The 17,934-nt window shown below is 37.9% G+C and overlaps 1 long non-coding RNA gene across 4 annotated transcripts in view; it reads right to left on the bottom strand.

The window, feature by feature from the left end:
• LOC105369165 (uncharacterized) overlaps nucleotides 1-17,934 on the bottom strand; it is a 486,292-nt gene that overhangs the window by 160,095 nt on the left and 308,263 nt on the right. For all 4 annotated transcript variants that reach the window (NR_187747.1, NR_187748.1, NR_187749.1 and 1 more), the window contains exon 3: nucleotides 14,473-14,534. This is a non-coding gene — a long non-coding RNA (uncharacterized LOC105369165). The remainder of the gene's footprint in view (nucleotides 1-14,472; nucleotides 14,535-17,934) is intronic.

The following is a 17,934-nucleotide window of genomic DNA, read 5'->3' on the forward strand; positions in this document are numbered from 1 at the left end:
GATGTGGATGTGAGTGTTAGTGTGGCTGTGAATGCGGGTGTGGATGTAGCTATGGATGTGGATGTGGGCGTGACTGTGAATGTGAATGAGCATGTGGCTGTGGCTGTGGCTGTAGCTGTGGACAAGGATAAGGATGTGGATGTGACTGCAAATGTGGATGAAAATGTTGGATGTGGATGAGGACTTGGATGTGGATGTGGCTATGGATGTGGATGAGGATGTGGCTATGGATGTGAATGTGGCTGTGGCTGTGGATGTAGCTGTAGACGTGGGTGTGGATATGGATGTGACTGTGGATGTGGATGGGGATGTTGATGTGGCTGTGGATGTGAATGTTGCTGTGGATGTGAAAGAGGATATGGATGTGGATGTGGAGACTGTGGATGTGAACGAAGATGTGGCTGTGGCTGTGGCTGTGGATGTTGCTGAGGATGTAGATGTAGACAAGGATATGAATGTGACTGTGTTTGAATGTGGATGTAGCTGTGGATGTGGATGAGGATGTGGATGTGACTGTGGATATGAGTGTATATGTGGAAGAGGGGGTGGATGTCACTGTGAATGTGGATGTGACTCTGTATGTGGATGTAGCTATGTATGTAGATGAGGATGTGGATGTGATTGTGAGTGTGGATGTTGCTGGAGATGTGGATGTGGGTACAGACAATGACAGAGTGAGAGAAAGTCAGTGGGTCTTGAAGAATGGTCCTATGACTATGTAATGCCTGGCTGCACCAAACAATTGAAGTTCTATTTTGACGAGTTATATTCCCATCCTGACTATTCCCATCACTTTATAAAGAAATTTGACTGTGAAGTACTTGGGGCACAAGAGAAAATAAAAATAATAAAATGAGAATTTCTTAGAAACAACAAAACAACAGCAGAGGCAAGAATGGGTAGATCTGTGTACGTCTACCCATGTGTACCCTGTGTACATCTGTGTGTGTACTTTTTCCGATCTTCCCTGGTTGTACATTCAACCATTAGCTGAATCTTTGTGAATCCAATGAGAGAAGGTATTTGGAGGCTCCCTAAAGTTTTTTGTTTGTTTATCATTCTTTGCAGGCTTAAGGGGACGTATTGTGAAAACAGGCAGGGTAGGGAAACACTGACAGCGCGCAGCATGAAATATGCAGCATGCTGCCTATGCTGCCTAACCTTGCTCCTCTGACCTTAAGACCACACTGTGTGGCACCTAGTGGTGGCTCTGTGTAGGCATGTGTACAACACATATGTGTGAGAGTGGGGTCAATTCCTCTTATCAAGTTATTCTAAATATACACCCAATATTAATGTAAATAACTTAACTATCATATATGCAATGCAGATACAACTTTAAGAAAGGTCCCATAGGCTCCTCTTCCAACCATGTTGCCATAATGAGACCCTACCACACATCTACCATGAAGATGGGTAGATCAAGCAAGGAGAAGAAATAGATGAATTGAAGGTAGAATGCAAAGAAAGCAAACAATATTGTAGAAGGAAGCAGGAGGAAAAATACAGAAAAGAAAGTGGGTAACAGTCTAAGTAAGAAACCACTCTTCTTGCTTTGGGAGGAGATTCTGATCAGAACTGGAAGTCTGCCCTCTCTCCTTGCTAAGAAGCCAGAGTTAGAAACACAGGTGTCTTCTCCCTTATTAGCAAGTGCCAGGGGAATTAACAGTCCATTCCACATGTTCTGGTCTTTGAGACTCTCACCGGAAGCAATGATATTGGAGAAACAGTAAGTAAGGTCCACTGGGTGAATGCTCCCTTAAGGGCAAATAGGAGGCTGAATCTGGGCCGCAGTTGTCGAAGAAGAAAGAAATCTAATCACTTCTTAATCTCTGATTTTGGCAGCCAGTACTTGTTCTCCCAATAGATTCTACTACATGTCTCACAACTATAAACCTTAAATTGCTAACAACAGTCTTGCCTCTATAGTCCATCTTTCAGCCACAAGGTCCTGTGAGATTTGCATAATAAACAGTTCTAATTTATTTTTTTCTTCAAAATTCAGAGTTGTGATAAAAATATAGAAATATAATAGTCTTGTCCTTCAAACAGTTTTCATTCTGGTTTGCAATTGTTTTTAGGTACTAGAAAAGTGTAATAATTAGGATCTATTATCAAGATGACTGGAGCACTGAATCAGTATAATGGCCTCTGTCCATATAAATCATGGTGGCATGATGATATAAATGATAGTTTTATAGCCATTTCTGGAATCTACACTCAATGAAACAAAATAATATTATCTTTCTGAGACAGCTTCCACCTCCAAGAATATTAAGTGGAAGTATCTTTTCTAAAGAGAAAGTTACACATATTTTCCTTCAGAATAGCAAGTGGAGGGTGACGACACTCAAACAGGGTCAGCAGATGTCAGGGCCCATCCCTGCCAGATGCTCCAATACCCGAGGCACCTATCAAGAAAGGAGAGGGGGAGCTTTGTACATGGTGTACCAACTTCTCTACTAAATTACCAACTTCTTGAAAACCACAGCTCATTCTCTCTCTCTAGGGAGCAAGCAATAAAAGAAATCTATGGAAGAAATGATTTTCCTTCATTCTCCTTTGAGCCTCTGTGCACAGCGAAATGAGGGTTTCTACATAAATATTTCTTTCTGACTTAATGTACTGCCCTGGTTACTTATTTCAACACTTTCACTACATGTCTTCCTTTATAATCCATATAGGGATGACTTCTTTGGGGATATTACGGAAAGATAAGGGATAAAGGGTAGAGGAGTGGCTGGAACTGAATACCAGAGGATCCCACATTACTGCCATTGCTCTCTACCAAATAACAGCCTAGAACTCACAGACTCAGCAGCTTTCCATGCAATATTAACGCAAGACAATGGCTTCTGCTCTGGAATGCACCCCCCAACAGGCAGACTTCATTTTCAGGAAGACCATACATACTGGTTTGCCTGAGACTATTTGGTTTTTGCAAATTGCCCTGCCATATGTATAATTGCACCACTTTTCCAAGCAGGGTCACTTTTACAGAAAGTGACCCTGCTTGGAAAAAAAAAGTATATAATCACCCTACTTTAGTTTTCCTTTATAACACTATCCCGTACCACTACCTACACCACTACCATAAAAATCTGACATGAAATACCAGATTTTACTACCATATTGGAAAAACTTTCAAAGAGCAAAGTATAAATTAAAGAATTTAAAAAGAAACACTACATATGACCTTCCTTATAGTCCAGAAGAAAGGACTGAATAATTTCTTTTAGAGATGCACCCAAGGTCCTGACCTTGCTCCTCTGACCTTAAGACCACACTCTGTGGCACCCAGTGGTGGCTCTGTGTGGGCATGTGTACAACACATATGTGTGAGAGTGGGGTCAGTCTCCAACAACTCCTCTTATCAAGTTATTCGAAATATACACCCAATATTAATGTAAATAGCTTAACTATCATATATGCAATGCAGATACAACTTTAAGAAAGGTCCCATAGGCTCCTCTTCCAACCACGTTGCCATAATGAGACCCTACCACACATAAATTCTGGACTTTCCACTTTCTACACCCACCCTGAGAGCACCTTGAACTCTCTATAGTGCCAGATTCCACACATCTACTCACAGGAGTTAGACTCTCTCCAGGGTCCATCTCTCATCTCCCATAAGCACTCAATAAACAGAGTAGCCATTTGTGCAATTTCCCAAATCTGACTTATTTAATATAGTACAAAATTCTCACGTGAGGATAGAGCAGAGAGGAAGTGCTTCGGAGGCGCCATCTGAATAGTGCAGCATAAATTTAGGTGTGCTAAACCCAGCCCCTTTGAGGACTTCTTATCAATATGAATTTACTTTATTTTTTTCTCTAAGCACCTAGTAAGTAATTGTTGGAACACATTTCTGATGCATGAACACATGTATACCAAACCATGCCAGACAATCATCAGTTCTCAGAAATAGCACAGTCTAAATTCAAAAGGAGAGAGAAAAATGTGTTTCTAAATGCCCTGTAACTGGCAATGTCCCTGATGCCCACAGCGTAGGCAGCATGCTGCATATTTCATGCTGTGCGCTGTCAGTGTTTCCCTACCCTGCCTGTTTTCACAATATGTCCCCTTAAGACTGCAAAGAATAATAAACAAACAAAAAACTTTAGGAAACCTCCAAATACCTTCTCCCACTGGATTCGCAAAGATTCAGCTAATGGTTGAATGTACAACCAGAGAGGACCGGAAAAAGTATATACACAGAGTGTCCTCTTACCCTCCAGCCTCTGCATGAGGAACGGATTATTTCATTTGTATTGCTATAATTTTGAAGATAAAAATGTGAGAAAAGCTTACATTGATTTCTCTCTCCATTTTCTGTTTAATTTTTTCACTTTCTCCTCCTTTAAACGATTCCTACCTTCTGCACATTTATATTATATCAAATGCTATGTGTAGTCAGCAGGCAATGCCATGAAAAATAAGAAAAAAGACCTGCAGTTACTTAATGCTTTTTGTACAGAAAACACAATGATATAAAATACCTGTCTTATCAGATAAGTCAGCCAATATATTAACACAGAAACTGTTCATTTCCACCAAAAGCTGAGTCAGTATGGCAGAATGAATAAGATACAATGAAATCAGGAAGATACAGTTTAAAATCTTGAGTCTGCCACTAACTCCCACTGTAACATTGGGCGAGTTACTTAAATTTCTCTGAATCTCAATTATCTTAATTGAAAATTGATTTAACTTTATCTTTTAAAGTTGTGAGAAGAGTTAAATGAAAAATCAAATAAAAAACATCAAAAACGATATGTGGTAACTTCTTTAACTGCCAAATAAGTCACTGCCCAGTGCTCTCACCTGAATGCATAAGCACATCTTCAAACTCAACGTCGCCAATCCACTTCTTGAGAAAAATACCTCATGACCAACATTGGGAATCACCAGTAGTTCATCATTCTCTGCTATCTTATGTCATCCGATCAGTCATTGAATCTTCTGGGGGTCCACTTCAGAACAAGCTTCATCTTTTTCTCTCCCCATTTATTTCCATGGGCACTGCCTTAATATAGGTTTCCATAGCCTCCCTTCTATACTGCCTTAATATAGGTCTTATAATTCTTCTGGATTATTACAGTCTTTACTGGTCTTCCTGCCTCCAATCTCTACCCTTCTAAATCTACTCTCCCAATTATCCCAAGGTAATGTTTTTGAACTATAAATATGCTCACATACTTGCTATCCTTGAAATAATGTAATGACTTTCCTTTGCCTATTAGAATGATTTTCAGCTCCTTAGCATGGTATATACTAAATCTTTTTTTTTTTTTTTTGAGATGGGGTCTTGCTCTGCTGCCCAGGCTACAGTGCAGTGGCATGATCTCGGCTCACTGCAACCTCTGTCTCCCAGGTTCAAGTGATTTCTGGCTAATTTTTTTATTTTTAATAGAGACAGTGTTTCACCATGCTGGGCAGACTGATCTCAAATTCCTGACCTCAAGTGATCCGCCTGCCTCGGCCTCCCAAAGTGCTAGGATTACAGGAGTGAGCCACGGCACCCAGCCTATACTAAATCTTCACTGGCTATATTAAAACCCTCATTTTTCTGCCACTACTAAGCAGGTAATCTTCAGGCAGCCCCCTAGTTATTATTTCCTTAAGTATAACTTAATAAATATTCTTAAGAAAATCTCATTTGCTTAAGCCTCTGGGCCTTTCTGCATGATATTTCCTTTAAAATGTTTTTTTTTCTTTTTGTTATTAATTATTGAACCTAAATTGCTCTTTGAATTCAACTGAGCAAAGGCTCCACCAGGGTTATTTGTTCAGTCCTTTAAAATCATAAGCTACTTTTTAAAAGATTATTATAGCAGTATATAATGATCTATTTAAATGTCTACTGCCTAACTAAATAAAGAGCATGAGTTTTTTGTCTTTGACTCTTCAGTATCTAGCACAACATCTGGCACCTGGGCAGCCTCACTGCCTGTGCTGAATGGACACATGGGTGAATGGGCAACTGGAAATGGAAATATTCATTTGTTTGAACTGACATATGTCACAGGCATTATTGCAAAAGAAGGACTGGTTTTTGTAAAGTGAAAATGCTGTGGACACTTAAACCTAAAGAATGGAAGGAATGATAACTACCATACCAGAAAAGAAGTGTCAAAATGAGTTTGCAGGGTTTGTTTTAAATGTGCCCAGCCTGTTTTTATTCTAGGAGATTTTGCTACTGTGTCTATCAAAATGCATATGTCTAACAAAGAATACATGGGACTGCCATCATTTACCCTGAGGTGACCTAGAAAGCAATTTGTTAGTGTGGAGAAACACACAAATGACCCAAAGACTAGGGTGATCATCATTCATTTATTCAACAAATATTTACTGAGAACTTAATATATACCAGTCACTGATTAGCTATAAAAATGTTTTTAATTGGACTAATGAGAGTTGATGATGTCACTGCAAAAGAAAAAAAACCCCAAAAGTCATGTGTTTGGAGACTATTAAAGTGTTTACTTCCTGTATAAACTGATTTTCCCACTTCCTTGACCATAAGTTACCTTCCTAGGGAAGATTATACTGTGAAAATACCTTACTCTAATATAGCCTCATACATAAGGAAACATGGCATATCAAAGTGGGACAGTATGTTGAGGGTTCACGAGACCATCCACTTCATTGGTGCATTGGTAAATTCTGCCCTCCTTTTAGAATTTACTATATTTAGTACAAAAGGTCCCTTATATGACTAACTGGCACCTAGACAAGAGATACTACTTGAGTTCTCATAAGATAAAACATTTGTAACAACTACAGCAGGTGAAAGCAAACTACATCTTGAAGGCAAAATCTACCCAAAGTTTGTTTCTGTAAATAAAGTTTTATTGCAACATGGTGCATATCCATTCATTTACATATTGTTTACAGCTGCTTTCTTCCCTAATGGCAGAGTTGAGTACTTGTGACAGAGACTGTATGGCTTGCAGCTGCTGAAACATTTACTATCCGTCCCTTTATAAAAATTTGCCAAGTTTTCTACTACAGGTACCGGATTGTATTGAGAAAACCATTTCAGAATACAAATGTAGTAAAGTAGATAAGATCAGTCAGCTAAAAGGAAGTTTAAATCCCACTAACCAACCTCTCTGTATCCTCCCTTCCCATTCACACACCCTTCCCAGGCTTTGATATCTATCATTCTATTCTCTACCTCCATAAGATCAGATTTTTAGCACCCACATATGAATGAGAACACGTGGCATCTGTCTTTCTGTGACTGGCTCATGTCACTTAACGTTATGACCTCAACTTCTTTCCACATTGCTGCAAATGACAGGATGTCATTCTTTTTTATGACTGAAGAGTATTTTATTGTGTGTGTGTGTGTACATATATATGTGTATATATATGTATATACGTATACTACATATACGTATATACATATATATACACACACGTACATGTATACATAGTATATATGTATATACATATATATGTATATACATATACACACACACACACACACACACACAATTTTCTTTATCTATTCATCATCTGTTGATGGACACTTAGGCTGATTCTATACCTTTGCTATTGTGAATAAGTGCTATGATAAACATATAAATGCAGGTATCCCTTTGATACATAGATTTATTTTCCTTTACACAAATACCCAACTCAAGATTGCTATGACTATTCAGCTTATTTTTGGTTCCATGAGAATTTTAGAATTGTTTTTTCTATTTCTGTGAAAAATGGCATTGGTATTTTCACAGAGATTCCATTAAATCTGTAGATTCCTTTGGTCAGCATGGTCATCTTATTGATATTAATTCTTCTGATCCCTGAGCATGGGATGTCTTCCATTTGTTTGCTTCCTCTTCAATTTCTTTCATCAGTGTTTTGCAGCTTTCTTTGCAGAGATCTTTCAGCTCCTTTGTTAAAATTAATTCCAAGGCATTTATTTATTTTTTGTGGGTATTTTAAATGGGATTACCATATTGATTTATTTCTAAACTGGCTTATTATTGGTATATAAAAATGCTATTGATTTATGGATGTTGATTTTGTATTCTGCAACTTTAGTGCATTTATCAAATCTAGGAATTTATTGGTAGAGTATTTAGGGTTTTCTAAATGTAAGATTATAACATCAGCAAAGAGGGACAATGTGACTTTTTCTTTTCTAGCTTGGTTGCCTTTTCTTTCTTTCTCTTGCTCCAACTAGGACTTCCAGTACTATATTGAATAGGCATGGTGAAAGCAGGCATCCTTGTTTTGCTCCAGATCTTACAGGAAAGGCTTTCAGTTTTACCCGAGTCAGTGTGATGTTAGCTGTGGGTTTGTCACACATGGCTTTCATTATTTTGAGGTAAGTTTTCTCTATGTCTGTTCATTGAGAACATTTATCCTGAAGAGATGCTGAATTTCATCAAATGCTTTTCCTGTGTCTTTTGAGATAATTATATGGTTTCTGTCTTCCATTCTGTTTATGTGATATTTCATATTTATTGATCTGCATATGTTAATTATTCTTGCATCCGTGAGATAAATTCCACTTGGTCATGTTATATGACCATTTTGATATGCTGCTGGATTCAGATTGTTATGTTTTGTTGAGGATTTTTGTGTCTATGTTCATCAGAGATATTGGCTTATAGTTTAGTTTTCTGTTGTGTCCTTGTCTGGCTTTTGTATCAGGGTAATGCTGGCCTCATAGAATGAGTTAGTGAGGGTTCCGTCTTCATCAATTTTTTAGAATAGTTTGAGGAGGATTGGTACTAGTTCTTTTATGTTTGGTAGAATTTGGCTTTGAATCCATCCTATACTAGGATTTTCTGTATTAGAGAACTTTTTATTACTGATTTAATCTTGCTACTTGTTACTGTTTTTTGCAGACTTTCTATTTATTTCTAATTTAATCTTGGTAGGTACTATGCTTTAAGGAATTTCTCCATTTCTTCTAGGTTTTCCAGTTTGTTAGTACATAGCTATTTATAATATTCTCTGATGATCTTTTATACATCTGTTGTACCAGTTGTAATGTCTCCTTCTTAAATTTTGATTGTATTTGAGTCTTCTTTTCTCTTTTCTACTTGGTTAGTCTAGGTAGCAGGTTACCAATTTTGTTTATCTTTTTTTAAGTACCAACTTTTTAATTGATCCTATGTATTGTTTTTCAGTCTGTATTTTGTTTACTTTTGCTCTGATCTTTATTTCTTTTCTTCTGGTTAATATGGGGTTTGTTCTTGCTTTTCCCGTTCCTTAAGGTCATATCATTGGTTATTTATTTGAAATCTTAACTGCTTTTCTTGATGTAGGCATTTATTGCCATAAACTTTCCTCTCAGTACTGCTTTTGCAGTATTTCACAAATTTTAGTATGTTGTATTTCTGTTTTCATTTAAGAAAATTTTGATTGCCATCTTAATTTCTTTATTGACCCAAGGGTTGTTAAGGAGCATGATTTTTAATTTTCACGTATTTGTGTAGCTTCCAGTTTCTCTTGGGGTTGATATCTAGTTTTATTCCATTGTCATCTGAGAAGATACTTGAAATGATTTCAATTTTCAAAAATTTGTTGAGGCTTGTTTTGGGGCCTGACGTATAGTCTATACAGGAGAGTATTACATGTATCGATGGGAAAAATGTATATTCTGCAGTTATTGGATAAAATGTTCCTTAAAATCCGTAAGGTCCATTTGATCTAGAGTTCAGTGTAAATCCAATACACCTTTGTTAGATTTCTATCTAGTTGATCTGTCTAACGCTAAAAATGAGTGTTGAAGTCACCAACTATTACTATATTGAAGTCTATCACTTTAGATGTAATAATATTTAATCAATTTACATTCAAGATTATTATTGATATGTGAGTTTTTGTACTGTCATATTGTTAATTTTTTTTTGGTTGCTTAGCATGTTTCTTCTTCATTTTCTCTTATTGTTTGTCTTTGTGGTTTGATGTTATACTCTAGTGACACCATTTGCGTCCTTCCTTTTCCCCATTTGTGTGTTTGGTTTACCAGTGAGTTTTGTACTTTCATGTATTTTTATGATGGTAGTTGTCATCCTTTCACTTCCAAGTTTAAGACTCCCTTGAGCATTTCCTGTAGGACCAGAATAGGAGTGATCAATTCCCTTAAATTTTTGGTTGTCTGGGAAAGCCTTTATTTTCATTCAGGAAGAATAACTCTGCTGAACGTAGTATCCTTGGTTGAGGTTTTGTTGTTGTGGTTTTTGTTGTTGTTTTAGCACTCTGAATACATTCTCACATTCTCTGCTGGCCTGTAAAGTTGCTGCTGAGAAATCTACTGTTAGTCTTTTGGGGTTCCTTTATAGGTGACTAGACACTTTTCTTTTCTTGCTTTTGGTATTTCTTTTGCTTTAACTTTAGACAGTTTGACTATAATGTGTCATCAAGAAGACCTTTTAGCATTATATCTGTTTGGAGATCTTTGGGCATTCTGTATCCGGAATCCTAGGTCTCTAGCTAGACTTGTGAAGTTGTCATCTAATATTTCATTCAATACGTTTTCTAACCTTTATGTTCTTTCTTCACCCTTGGAAATACCAATATCTAGTCATTTTATATTGTTGCAAATGTCATGAAGACTTTTCTCATCCTGAAAATACTTCTTCTGCTTGATCTAGTCTATTAAAGCTTTCCATTGTATTTTATATTTGATTTAACTTTACATTGTTCCAAATGTCACAAAGACTTCTCATTCTGAAATTATTTTTTCTGCTAGATCTAGTCTATTAAAGCTTTCCATTGTATTTTATATTTGATTTAATAAATTCTTCAGTTTTAGAATTTCTATTTGGTTCTTTGTTATATCTGCCTTTCTGGTAAATTTCTCATTCGTATCCTGAATTATACATATTTTACCTGTATTGTTTTTCAGAATTCTCTTGCATCTTTAAAATCAGTATTTTGAATTCTTTATCTGAGATTGTAACAATTTATTTTTGATTGGTTTCTTTTGCTGGAGAATTATGAGTTCCTTTCAGGTGTCAAGTTGCCTTGCTTTTTATGTTTCCTTTGTCATTACACTGATACCTGTACATCTGGTGTAATGATCACTTCTTCCAATTTATAAGATTGTTTTCATAGGGGAGGACTTTTTTTCTTAAGGTGTATTTATGTTATTGGTTGGATATGATGCTTTGGCTTTGATTTTGGGTGCATGCATTTGTGTGTTTTCTGTATGATTTTTTCCACTGTAAACTGCATCAGTGGTATCTGTGATTCCTTCAGTGGCTCAGGGTTTGGTTATTAGTGGAGGCTGTGGTGCAGTTTTGCTGGGGACTAGGGTGCCAGATGGGCCAGTCTTCAGGCCCCAGTGGTGGCAATGGTGACTTGAGCATGCCTGTCTTTGGGCCCCTGGATGGCTTATGCTGGCACCAGTGTTGGTGGACCCAGGAGGTCTGGTTTTTGAGCTTCCACATAAGCAAGAGTGGGCTGAATATGTGGGCAGTTTCTTGGGCCTCTGGCCAGCTGATGTGATGTGGGTGATGGCAGTGGCAATGGTGGAATTCCCAACCCACTGGAATCCAAGTGATCTATTTTGGTGTTGGCAGTGGCTACAACAGGTTGGGAAGCCCAGGACCCTGTCCTGCTGGTGGCATGTGCAAGTAGGTGTCAGCTATGGTGATATCAGCCCAACCTCAAACCTCAGAAGCAATTTTCTGGTGCTAATGGTAATGAATTAGGTTGGGCAATTTTCAGACCCGTTGACAGCATGTTCAATTACTGAAAGGATAAGACCAGGCCAGCATGCTAGTTCTCAGGCCCCCAGCATTGTGTTTAGGTGCTGGTTTTTATAGGCAGAATTGGAGTGCTCCCCAGTTCACTGGCAGAATGCTCAGGTATGGGCAGTGGCAGCTGAACTGTGGGCCTGCCACCAGGGAGGGTAAGGCCATTCTCAGTGAAAGCAGCATAGGAAGGATATGCAGATTCCTTGTACCTCAGTCCCAAAGCTGCCTGCAACAGTGGCAGTGGGATTTGTCCTCAGAGCATGGGAAGGTGCTTAGCCTTCCCTCTCCCTTCTAGGCTCAGTGGTGGCAGCGGCAGTAGCGGTGTCCTCAGGGAAGGATACAGTCCTTTGTCCAAAGGCTTGGTCCCTTGTAGGTTTGGCTATCAGAATGGTACCAATAGCAGCTGCTCAATACTCAGAAGCTTATGGGATTCCACATGTGTTCCCTCTCTGCAGCAATGCCTCTGTGCAATCTCTAGGTAGCTCCCTATGTTAGACTTAAGGCCAACCTGGGTAGAGGAGTTCTCCCATAGCTAGGATTGTGAAATACTGTGGGAGGAGTGTGAGCCCGGGGGTCTTTCTCATACCCTTTCCCTGAGTCTGGGAGCTTCTCCCACTTTCCAGCCGATCTTGGACAAGCAGGCTGCTTCAATTCCTTTTTCTCATTTTGATTGCTTCCCAGCACTTCTTTCTTGAATCCCAGTATTCTCTCTGAGATCATCTACTTAAAATTTGAGTATCTACTTGCTATTTTGGTTCCTCCCTGTGGATAAGGCACATACTAGCTGCATCTACTCAGCCATCTTGAACCCCTCTCCAGTATATTTCTTAATGAGCAGAAAGAGCCTAAGTTTTATAAAAGACCCATTAAATATGAACAACATATTCTTCTCCGGCACTGTGTAGAAAGCAGAGCCTTTCCTCACTGCTCCAAGAAGTTTTGACTTGCATTAAAAATTAATGTTTTATTCTCAAAACAATTTTATTTTATGACTCTATGCCCATTAGTTACCTCACAGTTTTGAAGTGCTGAATTTCAGATGGAGATTGTTTCTTCATTGCCCTCTTTAAAGTCCCTTTGTTGAAGCATGGCAGCTGACTGTCACAGACTGACTCAATGCTGATGTTAATATTGTAATTATTTTGTGGACATTATTATGGATCTTGCATATTTTTAGAGTTTTATCAGTAATTTTAATCGTTGTAAGAACTCAGAGGAGCAAGTCAAACCATGGAAACCAAAAGGGGTCATTCATTCCAGATACCCTACCAAGAATGGCTTTACTGCTTGCTGTGATTTTTACTTTTCTAGGATCACCATGTATGACCTAGATTCTCTTGCTAGTGCCAGACTTTCATCTCTTATTTATATATCCTATTAATGTTTTATTGTAATAGTTGTACATCAGAAATGCTGTGTCATGAAATAGACGCTGTAGAAAATTTTATTTGTCCTACAGGATAATTCAGACATTGCTCTAACACATTTTGCCATCGCCCACACTTTTTTAGTCTGCCCTATATTTCAGTCTCAGGAGAGTAAAATCTCTACGTTAATTCTGCCCACACACTTCTACACTGCTTTTCTGTCTCCTCAGTGACAGATTTGGGTTGGCAATGCTCTGTACTGGCTGCACAACCTTATGGTATTGCTTGCATGAGAGAAGCAAACAACAGTTTCATTTTACACATTCAGCACCTCTGATCTTCAGCAGGAGCTGAAGTGTTAAACTCTTTATTAGGGATTCATGGAGACTCCAGATCTTTCACAGGGCATTTCATCCTCAGAAGGAGACCATCTGCCTTCCCCAGAATGCCTCACGGTGCCCAAGAGAGGAACAGCCAGGACATGAGGAAGTTCTCTTGTAAGTGGTGGTGAACAAATCTCAGGAGATAACCCCAGGGATATCAACAGAAGTTTAATTTTTAAAAAACTAAACATAGAAATGATTTTCTCCATTCATTGACTAAATATGATAATAGAAATAATGATAACAATGAGAATAAAGTCTGATAAAATTTATGAAATCATTGCTCTCGGTCATATGTTATGTCAAATGATATTGATTAGGGGAAGAAAACTATGGCCCACAGGCTGTCCGCTTCTTCTTGTAAATAAAGTTTTAGTGGAACACAGGCACAGCCATTTGTTTATGCATTATCTATGGTTGTCTTCCTCTACAATGGCACAGATGCAGTAGTTCTAACAGAGACTATACGACCAACAAAGCCTAAATACTTACTTATCTGGCCCTTTACAGAAAACAAATCACTGATCCTTGATATACATTATCTCAATTAGTTCTTTTGAGAACTCTGTGATGTAGGTCCCATTACTATTCTCATATAAATGAAGAAATTGAAACTAAAATGATTAGAGAATTTTCCCATGCTTACGAAGTAGGGGACAGACCCTAGGATTTGGAATGTGTTTATTTCACAATCCTATATAGGTTCTCAAGGCTTTATGGTAACCTTAGGCAAACAATTTCATCTCCTTGATCCTCAACTCCCTCATGCACAAAGGAAGGGTTCACACTGAGCAGCAGCGATGATGTTTCCCATTTACAACTTTGTGCATGTCCAGCATGATATTCATTTATTCCAAAAAGGATTTTCCAAATGCCACTCAGGAGAGGGATTTCACAGAAATAACTAGAGGAACTTTTGAAATCATCACAGGTTTACCCAGAAATTATGCCAGAGGACTATTCTCTATCATTAAATCACATAAATACCTTGTTCTCCAGAATACCATGAATCCAATTATCAGTTCTAGGCAAAGAGCTCCAATAAACACCTGTAAAATACAAAAATACAAAAATTAATGCTGGGTTTCATGACATGTGTTATTAGAGAATCTTCTGATGAGATCCTCAGAAGTCTGAAAACCCCGTTGATCTGAGCAGATTTTCTTTCCTAATTACTCCCTTCATTTCAATTTGTAGGCATTCAGGTAGCACCACATGTACTTCTCTGTGACCTGTTTGTTCTGAGATCTATTTCTTGCTCTCCTTCTCCTCTGTTCTATATCACAGTGGTGTTGACCCCTGCAGGCTGCATTTTTTAGGCCTGGCATAATTAGTGCTGGCTGAGTTTTAGGCCTGTGTGGAAAAATTAAGGAACATAAAACAGACATAATTTTGGGGGTGCTATTCACAAACTGACATCCACTCAGAGACTTCCAAGGAGAAATGTCCTTATATGGCATCTGTGGTGCTGAATGTTCTGTGGCTAAACCTCCTTCTCAGGGGACAAAGACAAGGGACAAAGAAATTAGTTGTGAATAGAATGTGTGAACAAGCCGTTAAAGAGGAAGGTCTACTACAATGCCTTTAAGGCTAAAATTTAGATGAAGATATAATGGCCATCTTTGTTGTGTTAACTGTCTCCCAGTGCCAAAGGTACTGCAGCTCCATTATTGTTAATCCTGCCAAGGGAGGAAATTACATCTTGACCCTTTGTCATTTAACGACACCTAAATGATCCTTGAAATTATAATTACTTTTATTTCTCTTATTAGGTCAATTACTGTGACTCCAGTGCTGCAGATAAGAACAAGATGACATTATGTCATCAAAGGTGTAAAATTTAGGGATTAATAATAATTGAGCCAGTGCTATAAACAGAACTATTAGTACACAGAACAGCAAGATAAAAATGTTTTAGAATTCCATTCTGTGGAAACATTTATTCAGATCATGTGGTATAAGTGGATATAACTGCAGAAAGCCTATATGCAGGAATATGTTTTTTTCAGTTGTAGTCATTTTGTTTCACCATTTATAACTAAATCAAATTACAAGATTTTTTAGTGTTGTATAAAGAAGGAACACTTGTCAAGAAATCATGTAAAAAGATTCTGTGTGAATACGATATCTATACTGTGTAAAATACAAGAAGACTTGTCACTGGGCCTTTTTGTTTTAAATTTTCATCTTTAGAAAGATAGGATTTGAACAAATGATTGCTATCAGCTCTGATTCTAAGAATTCCCAGTGTTCTGATTCTAAGAATTTCCCCATTGGATAGATCATATCTCCATGTAATTCTACTACTGACATGTATTTCAAATGAAAATCTAAACATTTATAATTATTTTACTGTCCTATTCTATAATTGATAGTGGCAGGAGGCAAACAAATGTCTAGGCAGATAGGGGCAGGTCCCCAGCAAAATCCCACCTTCAAGCTGAAGATACTTTAAAGCCTAGATACAAGTCCTGGGTAAATCCACAAACCAGACTGAGAACTCTCTTCCCATTTGGCATTCTTTACTCTGACTGATCCCCATCCTTCACCTATTTTACATCTATCTACTCTTTACTAACTGATTTTCTACACTGTTGTTGCCTGCCTTTGAGTGGTGCCTTTGCATTAGCCTTTCTTTGCATACTCACAAACCAATCAGCATGCACTCTCCAGTTCTGAGCCCATAGAAGTCCCAGACTCAGCCACAATGAGAGGAGAAACCACCCTACTGTGGAGGTGAAAGTCTGCCCCTATGTCCCTTTTCTGCTGAGAGCTGTTCCATCACCCAATAAAGTTCTTATCTACCCTCCTCACTCTCCATTTTTCAGCACAGCCTCATTCTTCTTGGATGTGGGACAAGAGCTCAGGAACTGCCAAACACAGGTACTAACTATAACACAGGTGAGCTGGGCACACCTGGCCCAATTGGAGGCTGGGCCAGTGCACAAGCCAGACTCAGCCTGGGTGAACCAAGTGAGTGGGGCACCTCCTGCAGCAGGTAGTGTGCCCAAGCAAGACCCGGGCAGGTGCATTGCCAGCCAGAGGTCCCTGGCTGGCAAAATGACCAAGAAAAATCCTGTGTCATACTGACTTACCTATTAATTCATTTATTCAATCAACATATTTGTCTATTAAAAATGCTTTTTAATGCTAATCCTGTTGATTATATTGTGCTTACTGTTGTAAGACTGGAGTTTTATTAGGAAAAATAAAAGACTTGCATTATAGTCATAAATTGTAGTGTTGTCATAAAAAAAGATTTAAATGTGAACTATATCAACCATGTGTTAGAAATGGAAAAGTCACAAATGACAATGTTCCAGCAAATGCAGTGCCAAGAGATGAAAATCATAACCTTGGCTTTGCAGCTAAATATTAATTATTCTTTCCCCAGAAAATACTCCAATAAATAGTTGTCTCCCCTATCAACTGCAAACTGCTTTAAGATTGATTTTTGTCTTTGAATATTCAATATACAAGAAGCTCATTAAAACTGAGTGATCAAATAAATTAGTCATAGAGTAAGTGAATGATGGAAAGAAAGAAAGACGTTTACCTAGTAACTTGCAGGAGGAGAATCACTTTCTTAATTTTAGCAGTGAAAATGCATATATCAAACCATAAGCTTTCAATAAGCAATTTGCTCACTAATTGAATATAATGGAGGAAAAATATTTTTGACTATGAATCAGCTAGTAGTACAGGTTAAAGATGCAAAATACTAAAAATAGGGAGCCACAACAATAAATGCAAACCAGAAATAGAAACAATGTTATTTATATATTAACCTAGTTCAAGCTGACTGATGGGTATATTGGATTTATTATACTATTTTATCTACTTCCGCATATGTTAAAAAATTCCCATAACAAAAATTACAAATAAATAGGTATGCTGAGCAGCAGGTATTATTTATGGTATCTGTCATGCTTTGCCTTGGCGATCACAGTCCATGTAGCACAGGAATTATAAAACAAACAAATCAGTCTTAGTGGTATTACAATGTAGGATTACCTTAGACTTGGGTGCTAATATATCATATATTGGTACCATTGTAATTGAAATAACACTGACAGTAAGAAAAGCAAGATAAGGATCTCATGAGAACATATATGAAACTACCAGCCACAGCAGGAGTCCAACTGAAATTACGAAAATTTGATTTCTAACTAGCTATGAAGGAGTGTTGGAAAGATAAAGGAATGACTTAAGAGTCCTATCATGGGCATCTGGATGACAGATTCCCCTCTCTGGCCAGTCTGTGATATTCCAAGGGAGACTAAGTGGCTTTGACATTGATTGACAACCAGTATTAATGGGGCCAGCTTGAAGCAAGCTAGTTGATAATCTGTGACATAATGAACTTTTAAAAAGCTAGCTTTTTCAGCTTACCAACCAAAAAATCCCAAGACCAGATGGATTCACAGCTGAATTATACCAGATATATAA

The sequence above is a fragment of the Homo sapiens genome, chromosome 2 (assembly GCF_000001405.40).
Source record: "Homo sapiens chromosome 2, GRCh38.p14 Primary Assembly".
NCBI lineage: Eukaryota > Metazoa > Chordata > Mammalia > Primates > Hominidae > Homo > Homo sapiens.